This window comes from Homo sapiens, chromosome 17 (assembly GCF_000001405.40).
Source record: "Homo sapiens chromosome 17, GRCh38.p14 Primary Assembly".
NCBI lineage: Eukaryota > Metazoa > Chordata > Mammalia > Primates > Hominidae > Homo > Homo sapiens.
Genome location: NC_000017.11, coordinates 49,260,213 through 49,283,728, shown reverse-complemented (window position 1 = coordinate 49,283,728; position 23,516 = coordinate 49,260,213). Strand labels below are relative to the sequence as shown.

Below are 23,516 nucleotides of genomic sequence, written 5' to 3'. Positions count from 1 at the left end.
TCCCAGCACTTTAGGAGGCTCAGGAGGAAGGATTGCTTGAGTTGAGGAGTTTGAGACCAGCTTGGACAACATGGTGAGACCCTGTTCCTACAAAAAATGAAAAATAAAACTAGCCAGATGTGGTGGCCATGCACCTGTAGTCCCAGCTACTTGGGAGGCTGAGGTGGGAGGATCGCTTGAGCCCAGGAGGTCAAGGCTATGGTAAGCTGTGATTGCACCACTGCACTCTAGCTTGGACAACAAAGCAAGACTCTGTCTCAAAAAAAAAAAAAAAAAAAAGGAATCAGGACTTGATAATTTGGAAAATTCTCAGCCCATCCAGGTTGCAAAAGAGGCTAAAATTCAGAAGTGCCTGCCCAAAACTAACATAGATAAAAGTCCAAGTATGGGACTACACAAACTTTTGCTGACATCTCAGAAAGATCAAAATGTCAATCATAAGCGATTAAAGGTTGTGTTAGTTTCCTAAGCCTGCTGTAGTTCAGTACCTCAAACTGGGTGGCTTAAACAACAAAAATGTATTGTCTCTGGCTGGGAACGGTAGCTCATGCTTGTAATCCCAGCACTTTGGGAGGCCGAGGTGGGCAGATCACTTGAGTTCAGAGTTCAAGGCCAGCCTGACCAACATGGTGAAACCCCGTCTCTACTAAAAATACAAAAAAATTAGCCAGGTGTGGTGGTGGATACCTATAATCCGAGCTACTTGGGAGGCTGAGGCCCGAGAATCAGTTGAACCCAGGAGGCAGATGTTATAGTGAGCCAAGATTGAGCCACTGCACTCCAGCCTGGGTGACAGAATGAGACTCTGTCTCAAAAAAAAAAAAAAAAAAAAAAAAAACTGTCTCACAATTCTAAAGGCTACAAATACAAGATCAAGGTGTCTGCAGGGTTGGTTCTTGTTGGAGTTGGACAATCTGTCCCATGCCTCTTCCCTAGATTCTGGGGTTTGGTTTGCTGGCAATCTTTAGTGTTCCTAGGCTTGTAGAAGCATCATCCTTGATCTTCACTTTCATGTGGCATTCTCCCTGTGTGCATGTCTGTGTCCAAATCTCCCCTTTTTATAAGAACACCAGTCATATTGCATTAGGGGCCCACCTGACTCCAGGTTGACCCCATCTTAACTAATTACCTCTGCAACTACCCCATTTCCAAATAAGGTTACATTCCAAGGTGGGATGTGGGTGGTTAGGACTTAAACTTAGCAATTGGAGGAGGGGGTGGGCAGGACACAATTCAACCTGTACTAAGGCTGTCTTCATAGATCTCACTTAAACCAGGGTGTCTCTAGGAAGCTTACGAGGTATTATCCCTTAGGCTTCTCAGCAGAAGCCGAATATCAAGAAGGGACTATTTTAGAAAGATCCGTGGAAGAGCATTTGTCTGATGGAGTGAATCCCTACAAAATCTATGCAAAGCCCACAAGGTTCTAGAGAAGTTTATACCAGCAGAAACACTGTGAGCTTGGACTGAGAGGGACAGAGTACAAAATAAAAGAAAGTCTAGGCCAGGCGCAGTGGCTCACGCCTGTAATCCCAGCACTTTGGGAGGCCGAGGTAGGTGGATCACCTGAGGTTGGGAGTTCGAGACCAGCCTGGCCAACACAGAGAAACCCTGTCTCTATTAAAAATACAAAATTAGGCTGAACGCGGTGGCTCACGCCTGTAATCCCAGCACTTTGGGAGGCCAAAGTGGGCGAATCACTAGGTCAGGAGTTTGAGACCAGCCTGGCCAACATGGTGAAGCCCCATCTCTACTAAAAATACAAAAATTAGCTGGACGTGGTGGCACACGTCTGTAGTCCCAGCTACTCAGGAGGCTGAGGCAGGAGAATCACTTGAACCCAGGAGGCAGAGGCTACAGTGAGCCGAGATCGTGCCACTGCATTCCAGCCTGGGTGACAGAGCAAGATTCTGTCAAAAAAAAAAAAAAAAAAAAAATTAGCCGGGCATGGTGGCATATGCCTGTAATCCCAGCTACTTGGGAGGCTGAGGCAGGAGAATCGCTTGAACCCAGGAGGCGGAGGTTGTGGTGAGCCATTGCACTCCAGCCTGGGCAACAAGAGTGAAACTCTGTCTCAAAAAAAAAAAAAAAAAAAAAAAAAAGAAAGTCTTTGAGTCCCCAAAATTTTAGTGGCAGAAAGCAGGTTGATAAAACTTAGCTGCAGGCCAGGCACAGTAGTTCACGCCTGTAATCCCAGAACGTTGGGAGGCCGAGATAGATGGATCACGAGGTCAGGAGTTCGAGACCAGCAGCCTGGCCAACATAGTGAAACGTCGTCTCTACCCAAAATACAAAAAATTAGTAAGGTATGGTGGCAGATGCCTATAGTCCCAGCTACTTGGGAGGCTGAGTTAGGAGAATTGCCTGAACCGGGAGGCAGAGGTTGCGGTGAGCCGAGATTGCGCCACTGCACTCTAGCCTGAGTGACAAGAGTGAAACTCTGTCTCAGAAAAAAAACAAAAAACAAAAAAAAACTTAGTGGCAAACATGTGCTATGTTTCATGAAAAAGTAAAGATGACTCAGGAGTTGCACCCAAGAGCACAGAGGATAGAGTCAAGGGCCATGAAGGATTATTTCCAGGCCTTGAAACCTAATGGAGTTTGCTCAACTGGATTTAAAAATTGCTTTGGACCAGTGACCTTTCCCCCTTGTTGGACCAGAATATAACTATTATCCTTTGCCTGTCCACTATTGTATGTTGGGAGTGTCGGGAGCATACAACTTGGGTTTTTTGTGTTTGTTTTTGAGACAGGGTCTCACTCTGTCACCCAAGCTGGAGTGCGGTGACGTGATCACAGCTCACCGCAGCCTCGACCTCCTGGGCTCAAGAGATCCTCCTGCCTTATTTTTTTAATAAAGAGACGAGGTCTTACTATGTTGCCCAGGCTGGTCTCGAACTCCTGGCCTCAAGTGATCCTCCCACCTTGGCCTCCCAAAGTGCTGGGATTACAGGTATGAGCCACCGTGCCCAGCCACAACTTCAGTTTTTTTTTTTTTTCCTTTCCTTCCTTCTTTCTTTTTCTCCTTCTTCTTCTTCTTCTTTTTTTTTTTTTTTAGAGGCAGGGTCTTGCTGGTTGCCCAGGCTGCTGGTCTTGAACCTCCTGGCCTCAAGTGGTCCTCTCACATCGGCCTCTCATTGTACCCAGCTTCAATTTGTTTAATTTCCTAGGTCCATAGATGGTGAGGAACTTTGTCCAGGAGCTATACTTAGTGGATCATATGCAGTGAATTCATCTGTACTTGATGTAGATGATATAATTTTGGGCTTTTGAGCTGACGATATTTAGATAACATTTGAGACTTTGAATTTATGTTGTAGTAGGATGAGACCTTTGGGATGCTTCAGAGGAGGTAAATGTATTTTGCAATGGGGGCAAGGAGGATGTGAATCTTTGGGAGCCAGAAGGCAGACTGTAGTAGGCAAAGTTCTAAAAACAACCCCGCCTTGGGCCGGGCAGTATGGCTCATCCTTGTAATCCAAGCCTTTGGGAGGCCAGGGCAGGAGGATCGCTTGAGCCCAGGAGTTTGAGACCAGCCTTGGGCAACAGAGTGAGACCTTGTCTCTATGAAAACAAAACAAAAAAAAACTAGCCAGCCATGGTGGCCCTTGTCTGTGGTCCCAGTTACTTAGGAGGCTGACGTGGGAGGTTCACTTGAGCCAGGGAGATGATGACTGCAGTGAGCTGTGATCACACCGCTGCACATCAGCCTGGGTGACAAAGTAAAACCTCCATCTCAAAAAAAAAAAAAAGAAAAAAGAAAAGAAATAAAAATAGCACCCCCCCGACAAAGATTCCATACCCTGAACCCTGGAATCTGTTAATGTGATGAGATATTACTCCTGTGATTATGCCATGTTATATGGCACAGTTGACCTGAACTCTGAGCAGAAGCCAGTCAAGCATGGGCCGGGTGCGGTGGCTCATACCTGTCTCTCAGCACTTTGGGAGGTTGAGGCGGGTGGATCACTTGAGGTCATTTCAAGACCAGCCTGGCCAACATGGTAAAACCTTGTCTCTACTAAAAATACAAAAATTAGCCGGGTGTGGTGGTGTGCACCTGTAGTTCCAGCTACTCAGGAGGCTGAGGCACAATAATCACTTGAACCCAGGAGGCGGAGCTTGCAGTGAGCTGAGATCGTACCACTGCACTCCAGCCTGGGCAACAGAGTGAGACTCCGTCTCAGAAAAACAAACAAACAAACATAAGCCAGTCAAGCATGTCCAGACTCCTGACCCACAGAATTGCATGATAACAAACAGATGTTGTTTTAAGCCACTGTTTGTGGTAATTTGTTACACAGCAATAGAAAACTAACACAGCTCCCTTGGCAGCCAATGAGGAGAAACTCAACTCCTGTAGCCAAAAGGCAGAAAGCTGAGGATCATGCCCAGGACGTAATTATAAGTAGAGCAGAACTCCATAAAAAGTTGAATTCTCAGCCGGGCTCGGTGGCTCATGCCTGTAATCCCAGCACTTTGGGAGGCCGAGGTGGGCAGATCACGAGGTCAAGAGATCGAGATCATCCTGGCCAACGTGGTGAAACCCCATCTCTACAAAAAAATACAAAAATTAGCTGGGCGTGGTGGTGCACTCCTGTAGTCCCAGCTACTTGGGAGGCTGAGGCAGGAGAATCGCTTGAACCTGGGAGGTGGAGGTTGCAGTAAGCCAAGATCACGCCACTGCACTCCAGCCTGGTGACAAAGCGAGACTCCGTCTCAAAAAAAAAAAAAAAAAAAGAAAAAAGAAAAAGAAAAGTTATTTTCTCATCCACTGCAAGCCTACTATAATGAGTTGAAGGTCCTGGTTGGGATGGGATGGGATCCTGAGATTTGGGATGGAGACATCTGGGTCCATGAAATCCCAGATCTCCCTGAATTCTCTGGGACTGCAGACATGGTCCACTCCTCTCTGTAAGAGGCTAATGTTCCCCTCTTGCTTGAATTCAGAGGCTTGTGCCTTGTAGTAATGCACACTTCTCTGGATGTATCCCCCATCTCTTTTCCTTGCCACTAGGCCAATTACTACAGTCAAGTCACAACATACCCTAGCTATGTAAGTGCTGGCCTCGCTAAAGGAAAAGGACTATGCCAGTTGTCATTTTTTTGCCACTTCACTCCAAATAAATCCTTCATTGCCTTCTCTATGAAAATGGATCGGAGCCCCTCAAATATTTCTCCTCTGCCAGTTGGCACTATGTCAAACTTTGTCATTAGAGGCTGCTGGAGAAACTTTGCAGGAGGAAAGTGTTTTCCTCCCTAGTGCAATTGTGCTGTTCTCGGCAGCCTCCTATGGCTCCTCTAGCTCCCAGCTCCTGCAGTGTGAGCAGCTTCTCCACTGCCCAGCTCTACTGCATGCAAATAGCAGCCCCCAGCAGCTAGCAGCCACCCCCAGCATTCCCCTGAGGAGTTGCTTAGGGAGCACTTCTGATAACACACCTGTGTGTGCACGACTTCCCCAGGCACCCTAGAGGTCAGATTGCCAGTGAGTTCGGCAGGCAGATGGGCTTTAGCCCCACAGTGATGTTTTTGACCTCCAAGGAGCCATGACCCTTTCCTGCCAACAAGATTGGGATCTCAGCCCTGGGATGGCCCCTTCCTTGGGTGCTCTATCTCAACATTAGGGGTAGTGACTGTTCCTTATGTCTGCTATTCCTGTGCTCTTGAAAGTTTCCTTTTTACTAGCTAATCCTTCATTACTCCAATTCCCTGGTATACTTAGTCTATGTATCCAACTTTCTCCCTGTTCAAATTACTAGGTGTTTTTTTGTCTTCTGATTGGACTGTGACTCATTCAGGCTCTGTATCCTGAAGAAGTTGCAGGACCTAGCCAACATGTACTCACAGAAGCTGGGGCAGTATTACAGGACTTGACGGGGGTGAGAAGGGCATTGCGTAAGGTTGGAGAAGTGAAAGTTTATTGATTGGAGGCCGGACGCGGTGGCTCACGCCTGTAATCCCAGCGCTTTGGGGAGGCCGAGGTGTGCGGATCACCTGAGGTCGGGAGGTCAAGACCAGCCTGACCAACATGGAGAAACCCCGACTCCACTAAAAATACAAAAATAGCCGGGCATGGTGGCGCATGCCTATAATCCCAGCTACTCGGGAGACTGAGGCAGGAGAATCACTTGAACCCGGGAGGCGGAGGTTGCAGTGAGCCGAGAGTGTGCCATTACGCTCCAGCCTGGGCAACAAAGAGCGAAACTCCATCTCAAAAAAAAAAAAAATTTTATTGATTGGAGCATCTTGGGAGCGTCCTGATAATAGACTCTAGCAAAGATCCCAGGAGATGGTACTAATATACTTCCCGGGTGGCTCTTGGAAGCCGGGAGAAAGCAATGGCCCACACTGAGTGAAGTAGAAAAACTGAAACTGCTGTGGAAAACAGAGTATTGGGCATCCTTGGCAACATGGTGAAACTCCATCTCTACTAAAACTACAAAAAATATTAGCAGGAGTGGTAGCACGCACCTGTGGGCCCAGCTACTTGGAGGCCTGAGGTGGCAGGCTCACTTGAGCCCAGAAGGCGGAGGTTGCAGTGAGCCGAGATTGCACCACTGCACTCCAGCCTAGGTGACAGAGGGAGTCTGTCACCTGCCTCAAAAATAAAAATAAAAAGAGAATTGGGCACGCCAGAGTGTATATACTGGAAAAAAAGCTGGAAAATCTACCAGCTAACTATGCTCCATGGGAGGGTCTGGCGGACATCCCTTCTATCAAATGGGTGAGAAATTTCTGGTGAAAGGGACACCATCATCACTGAGAAGTTACAGAACTAGACTCCTAAAAACAGTGAGAATGGTCATGTCCTTACCTAACAGAGGCCAGGTGGCAGCACTGAAACATCAGAAGCCAGGTGGGTTGAATTATCATAACAAATGGCCATGTCAGGGGACTGTGGGGTGGGGTGGCTCGTCTGCAGAGAGCTATGGAGGTGATTAGGGTGCAGCAGGAGTGCTGGTCTCCATTATATCTTTTTTTTTTTTTTTTTTTTTTGAGACAGAGTTTCGCTCTGTCGCCCAGGCTGGAGTGCAGTGGCACAATCTTGGCTCACTGCAACCTCCACCTCCCCATTTCAAGTGATTCTCCTCCCTCAGCCTTCTGAGTAGCTAGGATTACAGGCGCCCACCACCATGCCTGGCTAATTTTTTGTATTTTTAGTAGAGATGGAGTTTCACCATGTTGGCCAGGCTGGTCACGAACTCCTGACCTCAAGTGACCCACCCACCTCAGACCTCAGTCTCCCAAAGTGCTGGGATTATAGACATGAGCTACCACGCCTAGCCCTTTTTTTTTTTTCCTTTGAGATGGAGTCTTGGTCTGTCACCCAGGCTGGGAGTGCAGTGGCATGATCTTGGCCCACAGCAGCCTCTGCCTCCCGGATTCAAGCGATTCTTGTGCCTCAGCCTCCTGAGTAGCTGGGATTACAGGCGCACGCCACCACGGACAGCTAATTTTTGTATTTTTAGTAGAGATGGGGGTCTCACCATGTTGGCCAGGTTGGTCTCGAGCTCCTGACCTCAGGTAATCCGCCCGCCTCGGCCTCCCAAAGTGGTGGGATTACAAGCGTGAGCCACTGCACCTGGCCTCCCATGATATCTTTCTTAAATTCACCAGACAGATCCTAAAGGACTAAAATGGACTACTGCAAACTCAGCAAGAGGTAAGCCTCACTTGAAACTGCTGTGCCAGAGGTGGATAGCCGCTAACGCTGATCAACACAGCCTCAACTACATGGTTTATGCCCATTGCTCTAATAATGCTTTATTTTTCATCTCTATCAAGAGGAGGATCAGAAAAATTTCCATTCACTTTAGATGGCTAAAAGTTACGTTTATAGGGCTGGGCGTGGTGGCTCATGCCTCTAATCCTAGCACTTTGGGAGGCCGAGGCAGGCGGATCCCGAGGTCAAGAGATTGAGACCATCCTTGGCTAACATGGTGAAACTCTGTTCTACTAAAAATAAAAAAAAGCCAGGAGTGGTGGTGTGTGCCTGTATTCCCAGCTACTCAGGAGGCTGAGGCAGGAGAATCGCTTGAACCCAGGAGGCAGAGGTTGCAGTGAGCTGAGATGGTGCCACTGCACTCCAGCCTGGTGACAGAGCGAGACTCCATCTCAAAAAATTTTTTAAAAAAATTTGCGTTTATGGTCTTATTCCATCCCCCACCCCACCACACACACACCCTGCCTATGTGATCTCTCTCACCCTCTCATATAATGTAGTCCAAGTGGACCTTACTGGACATCCTGAAGAACAGCATTTTGATCCACAACACTGATGTTAATCAGACTGGATGGGAAAGAAGTGGCAGTTGCAGTTGGAGTATGTTGGAGTTTTTGCTAAGAAACATGTACTCCAGGCCCAGCGCAGTGGCTCACGCCTGTAATCCTAACAGTTTGGGAGGCCAAGGCGGGTGGACCGCCTGAGGTCAGGAGTTCGAGACTAGCCTGACCAACATGGTGAAACCCCATCTCTACTAAAAATACAAAAAAAAAAAAATTAGCCGGGCATGTGCACCAGTGTTCATGTAGCCAGAACTGCCCATCATAACTCGATCCTGTCAGACCCACCCATTCATCCAGTTAGGTAGACCCAAGAGCACTCATGGATGCAAAGAGTATCCAGGATTGAACTTGAGCAAGAACAGAGAACACAAGTAGGAGGTGCGAGTAAGCTGCATGAGCATGTGGCCCAGCCCCGCACTATTGTCATCCACCACAGCTGCACGCAGACCCCCATGTTGTCCACCACTGTTGCACTGCTACCTCTCCTTTAGCTTGCATGTACGGTGGCCACATGGGGAAGTGGGAATCCTTTATGATTAACTAAGGAAAAGGAATAAAAGCAGAGCTTGGCTCACAGATGGATTGGCTCAGTGGATGCAAGCTGGGAATGGGCTCCCGCTGCACTACAGTCCTACTCTGGATTGTCCTGAAGACGGCAGTGAGGGAAAATCCTCTCAGTGGGCAGAGCTTTGGCAGCACACCTGGACATCCACTATATATGGAAAGAGAAGGAGCCCAAGGTAAGAATATACCGGAGTCATGTGCAATGGCAAATGGCTTGACTGGTTTGCTAGGGGTTTGAGAGAGAAAGATGGGAAGATCAGAGACAAAGAGACATAGTAAAGGGACATGTGGCTAGGCACGGTGGCTCACGTCTGTAATCCCAGCACTTTAGGAGACGGAGGCGGGCAGATCACGAGGGCAGGAGTTCGAGACCAGCCTAGCCAACATGATGAAACCCCGTCTCTACTAAAAATACAAAAAACTTAGACAGGTGTGGTGGCACATACCTGTAATCCCAGCTACTTGGGAGGATGAGGCAGGAGAATTGCTTGAACCCAGGAGGCGGAGGTTGCAGTGAGGCAAGATCACACCATTGCACTCCAGCCTGGGTGACAGAGAAAAAAAAAAAAGACATATGGATGGACCTGTGGGAGCGGGCATGGGCGTAAAGTACAAAGATCTTTGCACTGATACCCATCAGAGAGCATCCGCCATGGAAGATGTACTATACAACTAAGTAGACAGAATAACTAGGCCAGCTGACATGAGCCAGTCTCTGTCATTGGTCAACTTAGTGCTTCCCCAGTTGGTGCATGAATGAAGATCCATGGTGGTAGAGAATGAAAGCTATAACTGGGCCCCAGAGCATGGGGTCCCACTCACCAAGACTCATTTTAATACTGCCAACCAACCTGCCAGTAACAGACCAATGCCACACCCCATACGGCACCATTCTTCCTCAGAGATCAACTAGACACATGATGACAAGTTGATTACATTGGATCCCTTCCACTCTGGATGAGGCAACAATCCATCTTGACTGGAATTGACATTAATTCTGGGTATGAATTTGTCTTTCCAGCCACAGGACCTGTGATGGTTAGCTTTTTATTTCAACTTGCCTAGGTTATGTAGTATCCTTGTTCAGTCAGATGCTAATCTAGGAGGCACTGCAATGGTATTTTGTAGATGTCAGTTGACTTTAAGTAAAACAGATTATCTTTGATAATTTCTGTGGGCCTTATCCATCAAGTTGAAAGGCCTTAAGATCAACTACCGCCGGGCGCAGTGGCTCACGCCTGTAATCCCAGCACTTTGGGAGGTCGAGGCGGTCGGATCATGAGGTCAGGAGTTCCAGGCCAGCCTGACCAATGTGGTGAAACCCCGTCTCTACTAAAAATACAAAAATTAGCTAGGTGTGGTGGCGTGTGCCTGTAATCCCAGCTACTCAGGAGACTGAAGCAGGAGAATTGCTTGAACCAGGGAGGTGGAGGTTGCAGTGAGCCAAGATCAGACCACTGCACTCCAGCCTGGGTGACAGAGCGAGACCCCATCTCCAAAAAAAAAAAAAAAAAAAAAAAAAAGGCCGGGCGTGGTGGCTCACGCCTGTAATCCCAGCACTTTGGGAGGCCGAGGCAGGCAAATCACGAGGTCAGGAGATCGAGACCAGCCTGGCTAACACGGTGAAACCTCGTCTCTACTAAAAATACAAAAAAATAGTCTGGCGTGGTGGTGGGCGCCTGTAGTCCCAGCTACTCGGGAGGCTGAGGCAGGAGAATGGCGGCTCATGCCTATAATTCCAGCTACTCAGGAGACGGAGGCAGGAGAATCGCTTGAACCCAGGAGGCAGAGGTTGCAGTGAGCCGAGATAGCGCCACAGCACTCCAGCCTGGGCAACAGAGGGAGACTCCGTCTCAGAAACAAAAAAAAAAAGATCAACTCCCGGACGGGCACGGTGGCTCATGCCTGTAATTCCACCACTTTGGGAGGCCGAGGAGGGTGCATCACCTGAGGTCAGGAGTTTGAGACCAGCCTGGCCAACATGGTGAAAACCTGTCTCTACTAAAAATACAAAAATTAGGCCAGGCGCGGTTTCTCACGCCTGTAATCCCAGCATTTTGGGAGGTCGAGGCAAGCGGATCAACTGAGACTGGGAATTTGAGACCAGCCTGACCAACATGGTGAAACCCTGTCTCTACTAAAAATACACAATCAGTGGCCTGGCGGCACATGCCTGTAATCCCAGCTACTGGGGAGGCTGAGGCAGGAGAATCGCTTGAACCCAGGAGGCAGAGGTTGCAATGAGCCGAGATCACGCCACTGCACTCCAGCCTGGGTGACAGAGAAAGACCCCGTCTCAAAAAAAAAAATCAACTCTCAACTCCTAAGGTTCCCTTGAGGAAGAAGAAATTCTCCTTGGGCACTGCAGCATCAGCTCCTACCTGAGAGCTCCAGGCTGTCTTAGGGATTTTGAATTTGCCTATCCAGCCCCCACAACTGTGTAAATCAGTTCCTTGTGGTCTCTCTCTCTCCATTTTTTTTTTTTTTTTTGAGGCAGAGTCTCGCTCTGTCACCCAGCCTGGAGTGCAGTGGCGTAATCTTGGCTCACTGCAACCTCCGCCTCCTGGGTTCAAGAGATTCTTCTCCCGAGTAGCTGGGATTATAGGTGCGCGCCACAACACCCGGCTAATTTTTTGTATTTTTAGTAGAGACAGGGTTTCACCCTGTTAGCCAGGACTGTGTCAATCTCCTGACCTCGTGATCCGCCTACCTCTGCCTCCCAAAGGCTGGGATTACAGGCTTGAGCCACCGAGCCCGGCCAAATCTTTCTCTTTACACACACACACACACACACACACACACACCCCTACTGGTTCTGTTTCTCTGGGAGAGCCCTGACTGATACAGGACCTGTACCAGCATCACTGTGGTTTGAATGTATGTGTCCCTCCAAAATTCATGTTGTAACTTAAACCCCAAGGTGATGGTACTAAGAGGCGGGGACTTTGTGGACATGAAAGTCAAGAGGGTTCCACCACCCTCACAAATGGATTAGTGCTCTTTATTTATTCTTTATTTATTTATTTTATTTACTATTTTTTTTTTTTGAGACATAGCTTCTCTCTTGTTACCCAGGCTGGAGTGCAATGGCGCGATCTGGGCTCACCGCAACCTCCGCCTCCCAGTTCAAGCGATTCTTCTGCCTCAGCCTCCCAAGTAGCTGGGATTACAGGCATACGCCACCACCCTGGCTAATTTTGTATTTTTAGTAGAGACGGGATTTCTCCATGTTGGTCAGGCTGGTCTTGAACTCCCAACCTCAGGTGATCTGCCTGCCTCAGCCTCCCAAATTGCTGGCATGAGCCACCGTGCCCGGCTGTTTATTTATTTATTTTGAGATGGAATTTCGCTCTGTTGCCCAGACTGGAGTCTAGTGGTGTGATCTCAGTTCACTGCAACCTCAGCCTCCCAGGTTCAAGTGATTCTCCTGCCTCAGCCTCCTGAGTAGCTAAGACTACAGGTGCCCGCCACCATGCCAGGCTAATTTTTGTATTTTTAGTAAAGACAGAGTTTTGTCATATTGGCCAGGCTGGTCTCAAACACCTGACCTCAGGTGATCTGCCCAGCTCGGACTCCTAAAGTGCTGGGATTATAGGCGTGAGTCGCCACACCCAGCCAGGATTAGCGCTTTTTTATTTTTATTTTTATTTTTGAGACAGAGTCTCGCTCTGTCGCCCAGGCTGGAGTGCAGTGGCATGATCTTGCTCACTGCTCTGCCTCCCGGGTTCGTGCCATTCTCCTGCCTCAGCCTCCCAAGTAGCTGGGACTACAGGCTCCTGCCACCACGCCTGGCTGATTTTTTATATTTTTTTTAAGTAGAGACGGGCTTTCGCCATGTTAGCCAGGATGATCTCGATCTCCTGACCTCATGATCCGCCCACCTCAGCCTCCCAAAATGCTGGGATTACAGGCGTGAGCCACCATGCCCGGCCAATTAGTGCCTTTTTAAAAGAGGCTGGGCCGGGTATGGTGGCTCACGCCTGTAGTCCCAGCACTTTGGGAGGCCAAGGCGGGTGGATCACGAGGTCAGGGGATGGAGACCATCCTGGCTAACATGGTGAAACCCTGTCTCTACTAAAAATATTTTTAAAAAATTAGCCAGGCATGGTGGCGGGTACCTGTAGTCCCTGCTACTGGGGAGGTTGAGGCAGGAGAATGGCGTGAACCCAGGAGGCGGAGCTTGCAGTGAGCCGAGATCGCGCCACTGCACTTCAGCCTGGGAGACAGAGCGAGACTCTGTCTCAAAATAAATAAATAAATAAATAAAAGAGGCCGAAGGAATCTCCCTCATGCCTCTTCCCTCCCATGCCTTACCCCCTGGGAAGACACAACATTCATACACTCCAAAGGATGCAGCAACAGGAGCCATCTTAGAAGCAGAGACAGTCCTTGCCAGCCACCACATCTGCTGACACCTTGATCTTGGACTTCCCAGCCTCCAAAACTGTGAAAAATAAATTTCTGCTGGGCATGGTGGCTCACACTGGTAATCCCAGCACTTTGGAAGGCCAAGATGGGCAGATCACAAGGTCAGGAGTTTGAGACCAGCCTAACAACATGGTGAAACCCCGTTGCTACTAAAAATACAAAAATTAGCCTGGCGTGGTGGCACACGCCTGTAGTCCCAGCTACTCGGGAGGCGGAGGCAGGGGAATCGCTTGAACCCAGGAGGCAGAGGTTGCAGTGAGCCGAGATAGCGCCACAGCACTCCAGCCTGGCGACAGAGCAAGACTCTGTCTCAAAAAAAAAAAAAAAAAGAAAGAAAGAAAAGAAAAGAAAAAGAAAGAAAGAAATTTCTGGGGTTTTTTTGTTTGTTTGTTTGTTTTTGAGACGGAGTCTCGCTCTGTCACCCAGGCTGGAGTGCTGTGGTGCGATCTCGGCTCACTGCAACCTCTGCCTCCCGGGTTCAAGAGATTCCCCAGCCTCAGCCTCTTGAGTAGCTGGGACTACAGGCACGCGCCACCACATCTGGCTAATTTTTTTTTTTTTTTTGTATTTTAGTAAAGACGAGGTTTCACCATGTTGGCCAGGATGGTCTCAATCTCCTGACCTCATGATCTGTCTTCCTCGGCTTCCCCAAAGTGCCAAGGATTACAGGCGTGAGCCACCGCACTTGGCCTTGAATTTCTGTTTTTTATAAATTACTCATTCTTAGGCATTTTGTTGTAACATCTTGAACTGACTGAGACACTATCTGAGGGCTAAACAAAGAAGGACGGGCCACAGGCACTGAACCTCCCATGCCCAAATCACCTGTTTCCAGGAACTGACTTCAGCACTGAGTGCCTATCGTGGGGTATTTGTTAGTCTAGACTTGACTGGAGAAGAAAACTGCATTTGGGGCCAGAACGCCCTGGGCTGGTAATCCATTCTGCCCGCTGACACCCAGTAAGTGTTAACAAGCACAAATGGTGGTAAATCACATTTTGTGATGCTGTCCATTGATGGCAGGATGGTAACCACAGAATGTGGCCGGCCTGGGTGGTGGGCACAGATTAATCCAAAGAAGACTTTTGCTGAGAAGTGACACCTTGAGTAAATGGACAGATGTTGATGTTTGGGGTGGGGGTCAGGGGGTCCCTGTAAGATGAGTACAGACGCCCAGCCTCCCACATGTGTGAAGTGACCAGGTCACGTTCTGAAAGGGGTCAGAAGCTGAGGAATGATAGATGGACCAGAGTAATGAGGGATGCTCCCCTGGAGTCAGAAATGTGGAACTGAAAAATAAGGACAGTTGTGGAAATTACTTTTCTTGCTTTCCGGTTGTGACTTTGTGGAAATCAGTTTAGGAAGCCACTGAGTTGCTTTGACTGATGCACTGATCTCACAGCTGGGGTTTTTCTTTGCCTCATGCTGGGCCCAGGTGAGAGTATATTCATTAGTGTAGGCCAGCCCGATGGTGGATTAAGTCCTTGGGAGAATGCCAGCCCAATGCAGACCTGGGCAGGTGGAACTTTTTTTTTTGAGATGGAGTGTTGCTCTTGTTGCCGATTGGAGTGCCCGGGTGCAATCTCAGCTCACCACAAACTCCACCTTCCAGGTTCAAGCGATTCTCCTGCCTAGGCCTCCCGAGTAGCTGGGATTACAGGCATGTGCCACCATGCCCGGCTAATTTTGTATTTTTAGTAAAGATGGGGTTTCTCCATGTTGGTCAGGCTGGTCTCGAACTCCCGACCTCAGGTGATCTGCTTGCCTCGGCCTCCCAAAGTGCTGGGATTACAGGCATGAGCCACCGTGCCCTGCCAAGTGGAACTTTTATAGAACAGGAATGTCGGTAGGCCGTGGTGAGCGCTGGTGGCTTGGGTTAGCAAATAACGTCCCAGACAATCCTAGACCACAAAACAGTGTTCACCCTGGAAAACTACAAAATTAGAGCTTCCAACCTCAGCTAGTGACAAATTAAGACTCCCTTATTTACCTTTCTCACCCTCAAGAGGCCACATCTTTCTGCCCAGGTGGCTTCCGCAAGGAGCATGAATAGAATTATGTATTGAGAGATGATGTGACATGTTTGGGTTGAGTCTATTAAGAACCACACCCAGTGTCTTGAGTGAAAGAACAAGGGCCTTTTCAAAGGAATTGGTTTTTTCCACCTTTTTGTGATCCAAGTTTCCAGACCCTAGGGAAGGGTGAAGGGGAGAAGTGGGGACTTCAGCTCAGGAGACCAATTGCAGAGAGTCTGAAAGCTCCACAAAACTCAGGTACGCACTCTAGTGACAGGAGCTACCCCATCAGTTGAAGCACCGGTGGTGGGATGGCAGGAGAGCAGGGGACAGCAGGGGAGAGTCGGGGGAGAGCAGGGGAGAGTAGGCTTCAAGCCCAGGACCTGGCAGAACTGTCTGCAGCACCTTCTGCCTTCTCTGCATTCCCCCAGACCAGCCCTTTCATTACCAGATGGTCCCTCTGCCTGCCCTAAGCCCATGGCTCCCTGACCTCCCTCTACATGTGCTCAGCTGTACCTGGGCCTCAGGTGCAGGCTTCTCCTCCCCTGTCCTGGCCTTGCTCCTCACTTCTGTGCTCTAAACTGATGTGTAGGACAATTACCTGGGGACACCGTTTCCCATTGTTTTTAAAATTAGGCAGCAGGCCTTAGGAGAGAACCCTGAGTCAAAATTTTGTGCTACACATACACTGGAGTCTTCCCCCTCCTCATTTATAGCTGAAGAAACTGACTCCAGGAGAGCAACGGCCACCCAAGGCCACACTGAAAATTCTTGGTAGAGCCGAGGTGACATACCTGAGCAAGTCAGCCCAGGCCCTCACCAGAGCACCCCTTCCTCATCCTTCCTCTTGCATATTGGTATTTATCTTACTCCACGGAGTCTCGCTGTGTTGCCCAGGCTGGAGTGCAGTGGCGTGATCTCGGCTCACTGCAACCTCTGCCTCCCTGGTTCAAATGATTCTCGTGCCTCAGCCTCCCAAGTAACTGGGATTACAGGCATGCGCCACCACCCCCAGCTAACTTTGTATTTTCAGTAGAGACGGGGTTTCTCCATGTTGGTCAGGCTGGTCTTGAACTCCCAACCTCAGGTGATCTGCCCATCTCGACTTCCCAAAGTGCTGGGATTATAGGCATGAGCCACCGCGCCCGGCCCAGAAATTCTTATTTCTTCACACGTTAAAGGAGATATGCCATCAATATAGAGACTGATCCAGAAGACAGCAACAGATTCCAAATTGTTCTTTTTTTTTTTTTTTTTTCCTTGAGATAGAGCCTTTCTCTGTCGCCCAGACTGGAGTGCAGTGGCGCAATGTCAGCTCACTTCAACCTCTGCTTCCCGGGTTCAAGCCATTCTCCTGCCTCAGCCTCCCAAGTAGCTGGGATTACAGGCACATGCACAGCTAATTTTTTTTTCTTTTCTTTTTTTTTTTTTTTTTTTTTTTTTTAGTAAGAGACGGGGTTTTGCCATGTTGGCCAGGCTGTTCTCCAACTCCTGACCTCAGGTGATCCGCCCGCCTCGGCCTCCTGAAGTGCTGGGATTACAGGCGTGAGCCACCGTGCCTGGCCCCACATTCATTTTTGTGGGATATTTGTTCTTTAATTGCATGTTGAATGTAGCAAGTTTCCATCCTAAGTTGGGTTTGTCTTGTGCTGAGACACTGGCTTCCTCTGAGCACCCCATGCCAGATGGCAGAGACCAGGAAGTCTGGGAAGCAGTTTCTTCACTAGTGGGTAGGCCACACACACATAATCAAGAAGCAAATGTTCAGACTCATCAGGCTAAATACTTATGGTGCCTACAAACAGAGTGAGAAGTGGAAAGTACCTCTCCTCTCCTTGCCCAGATAAATGGAACAACTAGACCAATTAGACCCTGGTTTCCCTCCAGGCTATGCCAAGATTTGAAGGATTCACATCTTCACTGCTGCTGTCTAGCACGGTGTATCTGCCTGAGAGGTTGTCTCTCATTTCCTCCCTCTACTGCCCAGGCAGGTCTGGTCCTGCTGATGGATGCTCCGTCAAGTCTGAACATAATAATGGCCCTTCCTAGACTGCTGCATAGGGACACAACTCCCAGCCCACTACCTTCAGGCAGCTGGAAAATCAGGTCTTCAGCTTCCCCAGCAAGTCATCTCAAGGTGATAGAAATAGGGGCCATGTATTGGCTGGGCATGGTGGCTTATGCCTGTAATCCCAGCACTTTGGAAGGCTGAGGTGGGTGGATCATCTGAGGTCTGAGGTCAGGAATTCGAGACCAGACTGGCCAACATGATGAAACCCTGTCTCTACTAAAAATACAAAAATTAGCCGGGCATGGTGACATGTGCCCATAGTCCCAGCTACTTAGGAGGCTGAGGCAGGAGGATCACTTGAAACTGGGAGGCGGTTGGAGTGAGCCGAGATCACGCCACTGCACTCCAGCCTGGGCGACAGAGCAAGACTCCATCTCCAAAAACAAAAAAGAAATAGGGGGCTGGGCACAGTGGCTCACACCTGTAATCCCAGCACTTCGGGAGGCCGAAGCGGGCAGATCACCTGAGGTCAGGAGTTCAAAACCAGCCTGGCCAACATGGTGAAACCCCATCTCTACTAAAAATACAAAAATTAGCCAGGTGTGGTGGCAGATGCCTGTAATCCCAGTTACTTGGGAGGCTGAGACAGGAGAATTGCTTGAACCCGGGAGGCGGAGGTTGCAGGGAGCCAAGATCACGCCATTGCACTCCAGCCTGGGTGACAAAAGTGAAACTCCGTCTCAAAAAAAAAAAAAGAAAGAAAGAAAGAGCCAGGCACAGTGGCTCACACCTGTAACCCCAAATCCCAGCACTTTGGGAGGCCGAGATGGGCAGATCACGAGATCAGGAGATAGAGACCATCCTGGCTAACACGGTGAAACCCCGTCTCTACTAAAAATACAAAAAATTAGCCGGGCGTGGTGGCAGCATCTGTAGTCCCAGCTACTTGGGAGGCTGAGGCAGGAGAATGGCGTGAACCCCGGAGGTGGAGCTTGCAGTGAGCCGAGATGGCGCGGCGCCACTGCACTCCAGCCTGGGCGACAGAGCGAGACTCCGTGAAAAAAAAGAAAGAAAGGAAAGAAAGAAAGAAAGAGAAAAAGAGAGAGAGAGAAAGACGAAAGAAAAAGAAAGAAAGGAAGGAAGGAAGGAAGGAAGGAAGGAAAGAAAGAAAGAAAGAAGAAAGAAAGAGAAAGAAAGAAAGAAAGAAGAAGGAAAGAAAGAAAGAAAAAAGAAAGAAAGAGAAAGAAAGAAAGAAAGAGAAAAGAAAGAAGGAAAGAAGGAAGGAAGGAAGGAAGGAAGGAAATAAATAGCGGCCATGTATGGGGAGAGCACTGCCTAGAAAACTGGGTTCTTGTCCTAACTCAACCTTTATCCCAACCCACCTTTCTAGGCCAACCATGCAGCATCCCTTCAAAACCCAGCTCACACATCACCTCTGTGTATTCAATTCTTCCCCAGGCAGAGATGGCCCCTCCTCTTCTCCCTGTCACTCCTGCACTCTGCACAAAACTGACATTATAGTACTTACTTATCCCATTGTATATAACTAGTGGCAGACTTGTTTGTCTCCTAGACCTGTGAGCTTCTCAAGGGAAGAAAATTGTCTTGGCCATCTCATTTTTCTATTTATGGCGCATGGCAGGTATTCAATATATAAACAAATAATTATGGAATCTCTCCAAAACAAGAGGGTGGGGCAGGGTGATTTTTTTTTTCTTTCCTTTTTTTTTTTTTTTTCTTTGAGATAGAGTTTCACTCTGGTTGCCCAGGCTACAGTGCAATGGCACGGTCTCAGCTCACTGCAACCTCCGCCTCCCGGGTTCAAGCGATTCTCTTTCCTCAGCCTCCCGAGTAGCTGGGATTACAGGCGCCTGTGACCACACCCAGCTAATTTTTGTATTTTAGCAGAGACGGGATTTCACCATGTTGGCCAGGCTGGTTGCAAACTCCTGACCTGAGGTAATCCACCCATCTCGGCCTCCCAAAGTGCTGGGATTACAGGCATGAGCCATGGCGCCTGGACTTTTTTTGTTTTTTGAGACAGTTTCTCTCTTGTTGCCCAGGCTGGAGTACAATGGCACAATCTCGGCTCACCGCAACCTCCGCCTCCTGGGTTCAAGCGATTCTCCTGCCTCAGCCTCCCAAGTAGCTGGGATTGCAAGCATGTGCCACCACGCCCAGCTAATTTTGTATTTTTAGTAGAGACAGGGTTTCTCCATGTTGGTCAGGCTGGTCTCGAACTCCTCACCTCAGGCGATTCACCCACTTTGGCCTCCCAAAGTGCAGCGATTACAGGTGTAAGCCACTGCGCCCGGTGGGGCTGGGTGATCTTAAAGGTCGCCTTCCTCACCTAAGAGTCTATGATGACCCCAATCTCATTTCCAGTATTGATGACCCAAATCTCACTTTCAGTCACAGAGAAATGAAAGACCCAAGATTCCCAAACCCTCATATCAAGTGTGTTTGATCCACATGTCCCAACCTAGTTTGGCTCTGGGACATAAAGAAATTATGTCTATACATTTTGTACACGGGTATGTGAGTGTCCAGTAGAAAGGATGGGGCGGGGGGTTAGAGGTGCCTCTCTTCCTTCTATGAGCATGTATCAGTCATCTAAAAGCATTTTGGGGTCTGTCATGACAGTGTCCCTATAAGTTGGTGTTTCTCTGATAGGTAAGATGATGGAGGGATTCTCCAAAGGAATGGGGATGGAGGCAAAACATATCTTGAGGGGGTGAGTGATTTGCTAAACCACGCATACGTTGAGGAGTGATGGAGGTTCTCAGCTAGTATTCTCAAATCCCCCCCTTAGTCATTCTGACCCAAGAAGGTCTTGACTAGGCTAAGGTTTACAATCTGCCACAATGGGGGCAACTGGTCATTTCCTCTCTCTTTTATTTGAGGGCAGAGCAGGAATCTAGGAAGAGCTAGTTTTGAGGGACTTTCAAGTAAAGGATCCTCCTTGATGTGGTTTGAAACATTGCCACTGTGTGTTTGGATAATGGCTAAATTAGCCCTCCATAAAGACTGGGAATGAAGAGATGTCTAAATATAACTTGAGGGACACAGACTGAGAAAAGCCTGTGGGTAGAGTGGAAGAACCCAGCCCAAGGTATAAGACAGTAGAAAATCAAATCAAACGCTCTTCGCCACTTTCCAGCTTAGGGTACTTTTTTTTTTTTTTTTTTTTTTTTTGAGACAGAGTCTTGCTCTGTCGCCCAAGCTGGAGTGCAGTGGCGTGACCTCAGCTCACTGCAACCTCCACTGCCCAGGTTCAAGCAATTCTCCTGCCTCAGCCTCCTGAGTAGCTGGGATTACAGGCGCCTGCCATCACACCTGGCTGATTTTTGTGTTTTCAATAGAGACGGGGTTTCACTATGTTGGCCAGGCTTGTCTTGAATCCCTAACCTCAAGTGATCCACCTGCCTTGGCCTCCCAAAGTGCTGGGATTACAGGCGTGAGCCACAGTGGCCGGCCCCAGCTTGGGGTGTTTTTTAAAGACAGAGAAAAAACACAGCAGTAGGTTGGGGTTTATTATTCTCATTGGCTGCGGTAGATGAGGTATTTTTAGGCCTTACCTAATTCATCTGTAAAAAATAAGTTAATGTTTTTTGAATGCCTGCTACTGGGGCCGAGGGTTAGACGTAGCTCATCTCAGTGTCCTCTACCACCTTACAGGGAGAGAATACCGTTTGCAAATAGGGGCCCAAAAAGATCACTGTGCTGGCCCAAAGTCACACAGCTGATAAGTGGCAGGGCAGAGGCCTCATTGTGCCTCCCAGTACAAAGATAGCAGTCTCTTCCTGCATTACAGAATTGTGAGAATGAGAAGATAATGAACCAGAAAGCACATCTTAAGACACAAAGTGCTCCACGAATGTAAAAAATGATCCTGGCCAGGCGTGGTGGCTCACGCCTGTAATCCCAGCACTTTGGGAGGCCAAGGCAGGCGGATCACGAGGTCAGGAGATCGAAACCAGCCTGGCTAACACAGTGAAACCCCATCTCTACTAAAAAAATACAAAAAACTAGCCGGGCATGGTGGCGGGCGCCTGTAGTCCCAGCTACTCGGGAGGCTGAGGCAGGAGAATGGCGTGAACCCAGAAGGCGGAGATTGCAGTGAGCCGAGATTGGTGACTCCATCTTGAATAGGGGCTGGGTAGAATGAGGCTGAGACCTACTGGGCTGCATTCCCAGATGGCTAAGGCATTCTAAGATTCTAAGTCACAGGATGAGATAGGAGGTTGGCACAAGATGTGGGTCACAAAGACCTTGCTGGCTGGGCACGTTGGTTCATGCCTGTAATCCCAGCACTTTGGGAGGCCAAGGCAGGCAGATTACCTGAGGTCAGGAGTTTGAGACCAGCTTGGCCAACATGGTGAAACCCTGTCTCTACTGAAAATACAAAAAGTAGCCAGGCGTGGTGGCAGACACCTGTAATCCCAGCTACTTGGGAGGCAGGAGAATCACTTGAACCCAGTAGGCAGAGGTTGCAGTGAGCCGAGATGGCACCACTGCACTCCAGCCTGGGTGACAGAGCGGGACTCCATCTCAAAAAAAAAAAAAGACCTTGCTGATAAAACAGGTTGCGGTAAAGAAGCCGGCCAAAACCCACCAAAACCAAGATGGCCACGAGAGTGACCTCTGGTGGTCCTCACTGCTATACTCCCACCAGCGCCATGACAGTTTACAAATACCATGGCAACGTCAGGAAGTTACCCTCTATGGTCTAAAAAGGGGAGGCACGAATAATCTACCCCTTGTTTAGCACAGCATCAAGAAATAACCATAAAAATGGGTAACCAGCAGTGCTCGGGGCTGCTCTGTCTATAGAGTAGCCATTCTTTTATTTCTTTATTTTCCTAATAAATTTGCTTTCACTTTACAGTCTCGCCCCGAATTCCTTCTTACACGAGATCCAAGAATACTCTCTTGAGGTTTGGATCAAGACCCCTTTCTGGTAACAGTTTGACCCAGGAGCATGGAGCCACCTGAAGGACCCTTGGAAATGTAGTCCTGATGGGTGACCCACAGGACTGAGTCTCACTGGAGAAAACAAATCTGTGTAGAGACCACAAGAGCCACCCAAGCGCCTGCAGTAAAGCAATTTTAGAAACATAGAGAAGGGCCCAAGAGAAGTGGGATCAAACCAGGTCTCTGGGCATTTCTGCCCCTTCCAGATGCCATAGAAAAAAATGCCATTGTCTGTATGTGTGTGGGGAGTGTGGGTGGAGTGAAGTCTGGAGCTGCCAGGCGGCCAATGTCTGGCAAGGTTGTACAGGTGATTTGTGGAGCCAATGGGTGGGAGCCCCACACTCTGGGCCCGTGGAGAGCAGCTTTTATTAGAAACCTTCCATTTTTCTGGCATTTCCCTAATGTAGCCAAGCCACTCTTGGCGCGCGCGCACACACACACACACACACACACGCACACTTCTAGATGTCCTTAGCCCCAGAGTGGATTTGATTTGAGGTAGGATAGTAGAGTGTTGGAGAAAGGGCACAGGGCTAGGAGACACAAACGTGGCTCGAATAAGTCAGCCCCCGTCTCTGGGCCTCGGTTTCCTCATCAGCAAAGCACACAGGGTGACTCATGAGCTCTTAGACCCGGCTGAGCCACAGGATGTCAGATCCTATGATTCTCCGATTGGCTCTTAAGGGGCAAGGGAACTGTCAGCCCTGGACGGAGGAGTCGCTCTCAGACGCCAGCTAAGGCAGCTGAGGGGACGCCCGGCTGAAGCTGTCGGAGCCCCATCCCCTTCTGGGGCCCCCAGGTTGCCTACTCTCAAGTGCCCGCGCCCCAGTGAGCGAGTGTCGGGAGCCGACGCAGAAGGCTCCCTCCTACAGCGAGCGGCGGGCAGGGGCCGGCGGGGCACAGTGCTCCGGGCGCCCGGGGACGGGACGTGGCGCCTAACGAGGCGTGGCCGGGGTTGGGCTGGGGCTGCCGCCGGTCGCCGGTTCCCCGCCGTGGGGCGACTCGTCCTTCCTGAACGTGCCACGCTCCGCGGTCGCTCGGCCACAAACAAGGAAGCTTGGGGGACGCCCGGCGGGCGCCGAGGCCCGTGCGAGGCCGGGGCTCCGCGGGGAGGGCGGCCGGGGCAGCCGCGTGGGCCGGGAGGGGACGCGAGGGCGGCATTGCTCTGCTCGCTCAGCGGCCCGGCCCCCGCCCCCGACGTCTGAATAGCTGCTGTGTCGCGGCGGATCCGATTGTTT

General features: G+C 49.4%; 2 annotated features.

Moving 5' to 3' along the window:
- Window positions 22,137-22,949: an enhancer, noted in NCBI's record as "H3K27ac-H3K4me1 hESC enhancer chr17:47338142-47338954 (GRCh37/hg19 assembly coordinates)". NCBI's record gives its function as "activates a minimal SCP1, AML or CMV promoter by ChIP-STARR-seq in primed H9 embryonic stem cells {active_cell/tissue: H9 hESC(primed)}" and the evidence as "EXISTENCE:reporter gene assay evidence [ECO:0000049][PMID:30033119]".
- Window positions 23,108-23,507: a silencer, noted in NCBI's record as "silent region_8666". NCBI's record gives its function as "represses an Ori minimal core promoter by ATAC-STARR-seq in GM12878 lymphoblastoid cells {active_cell/tissue: GM12878}" and the evidence as "EXISTENCE:reporter gene assay evidence [ECO:0000049][PMID:35858748]".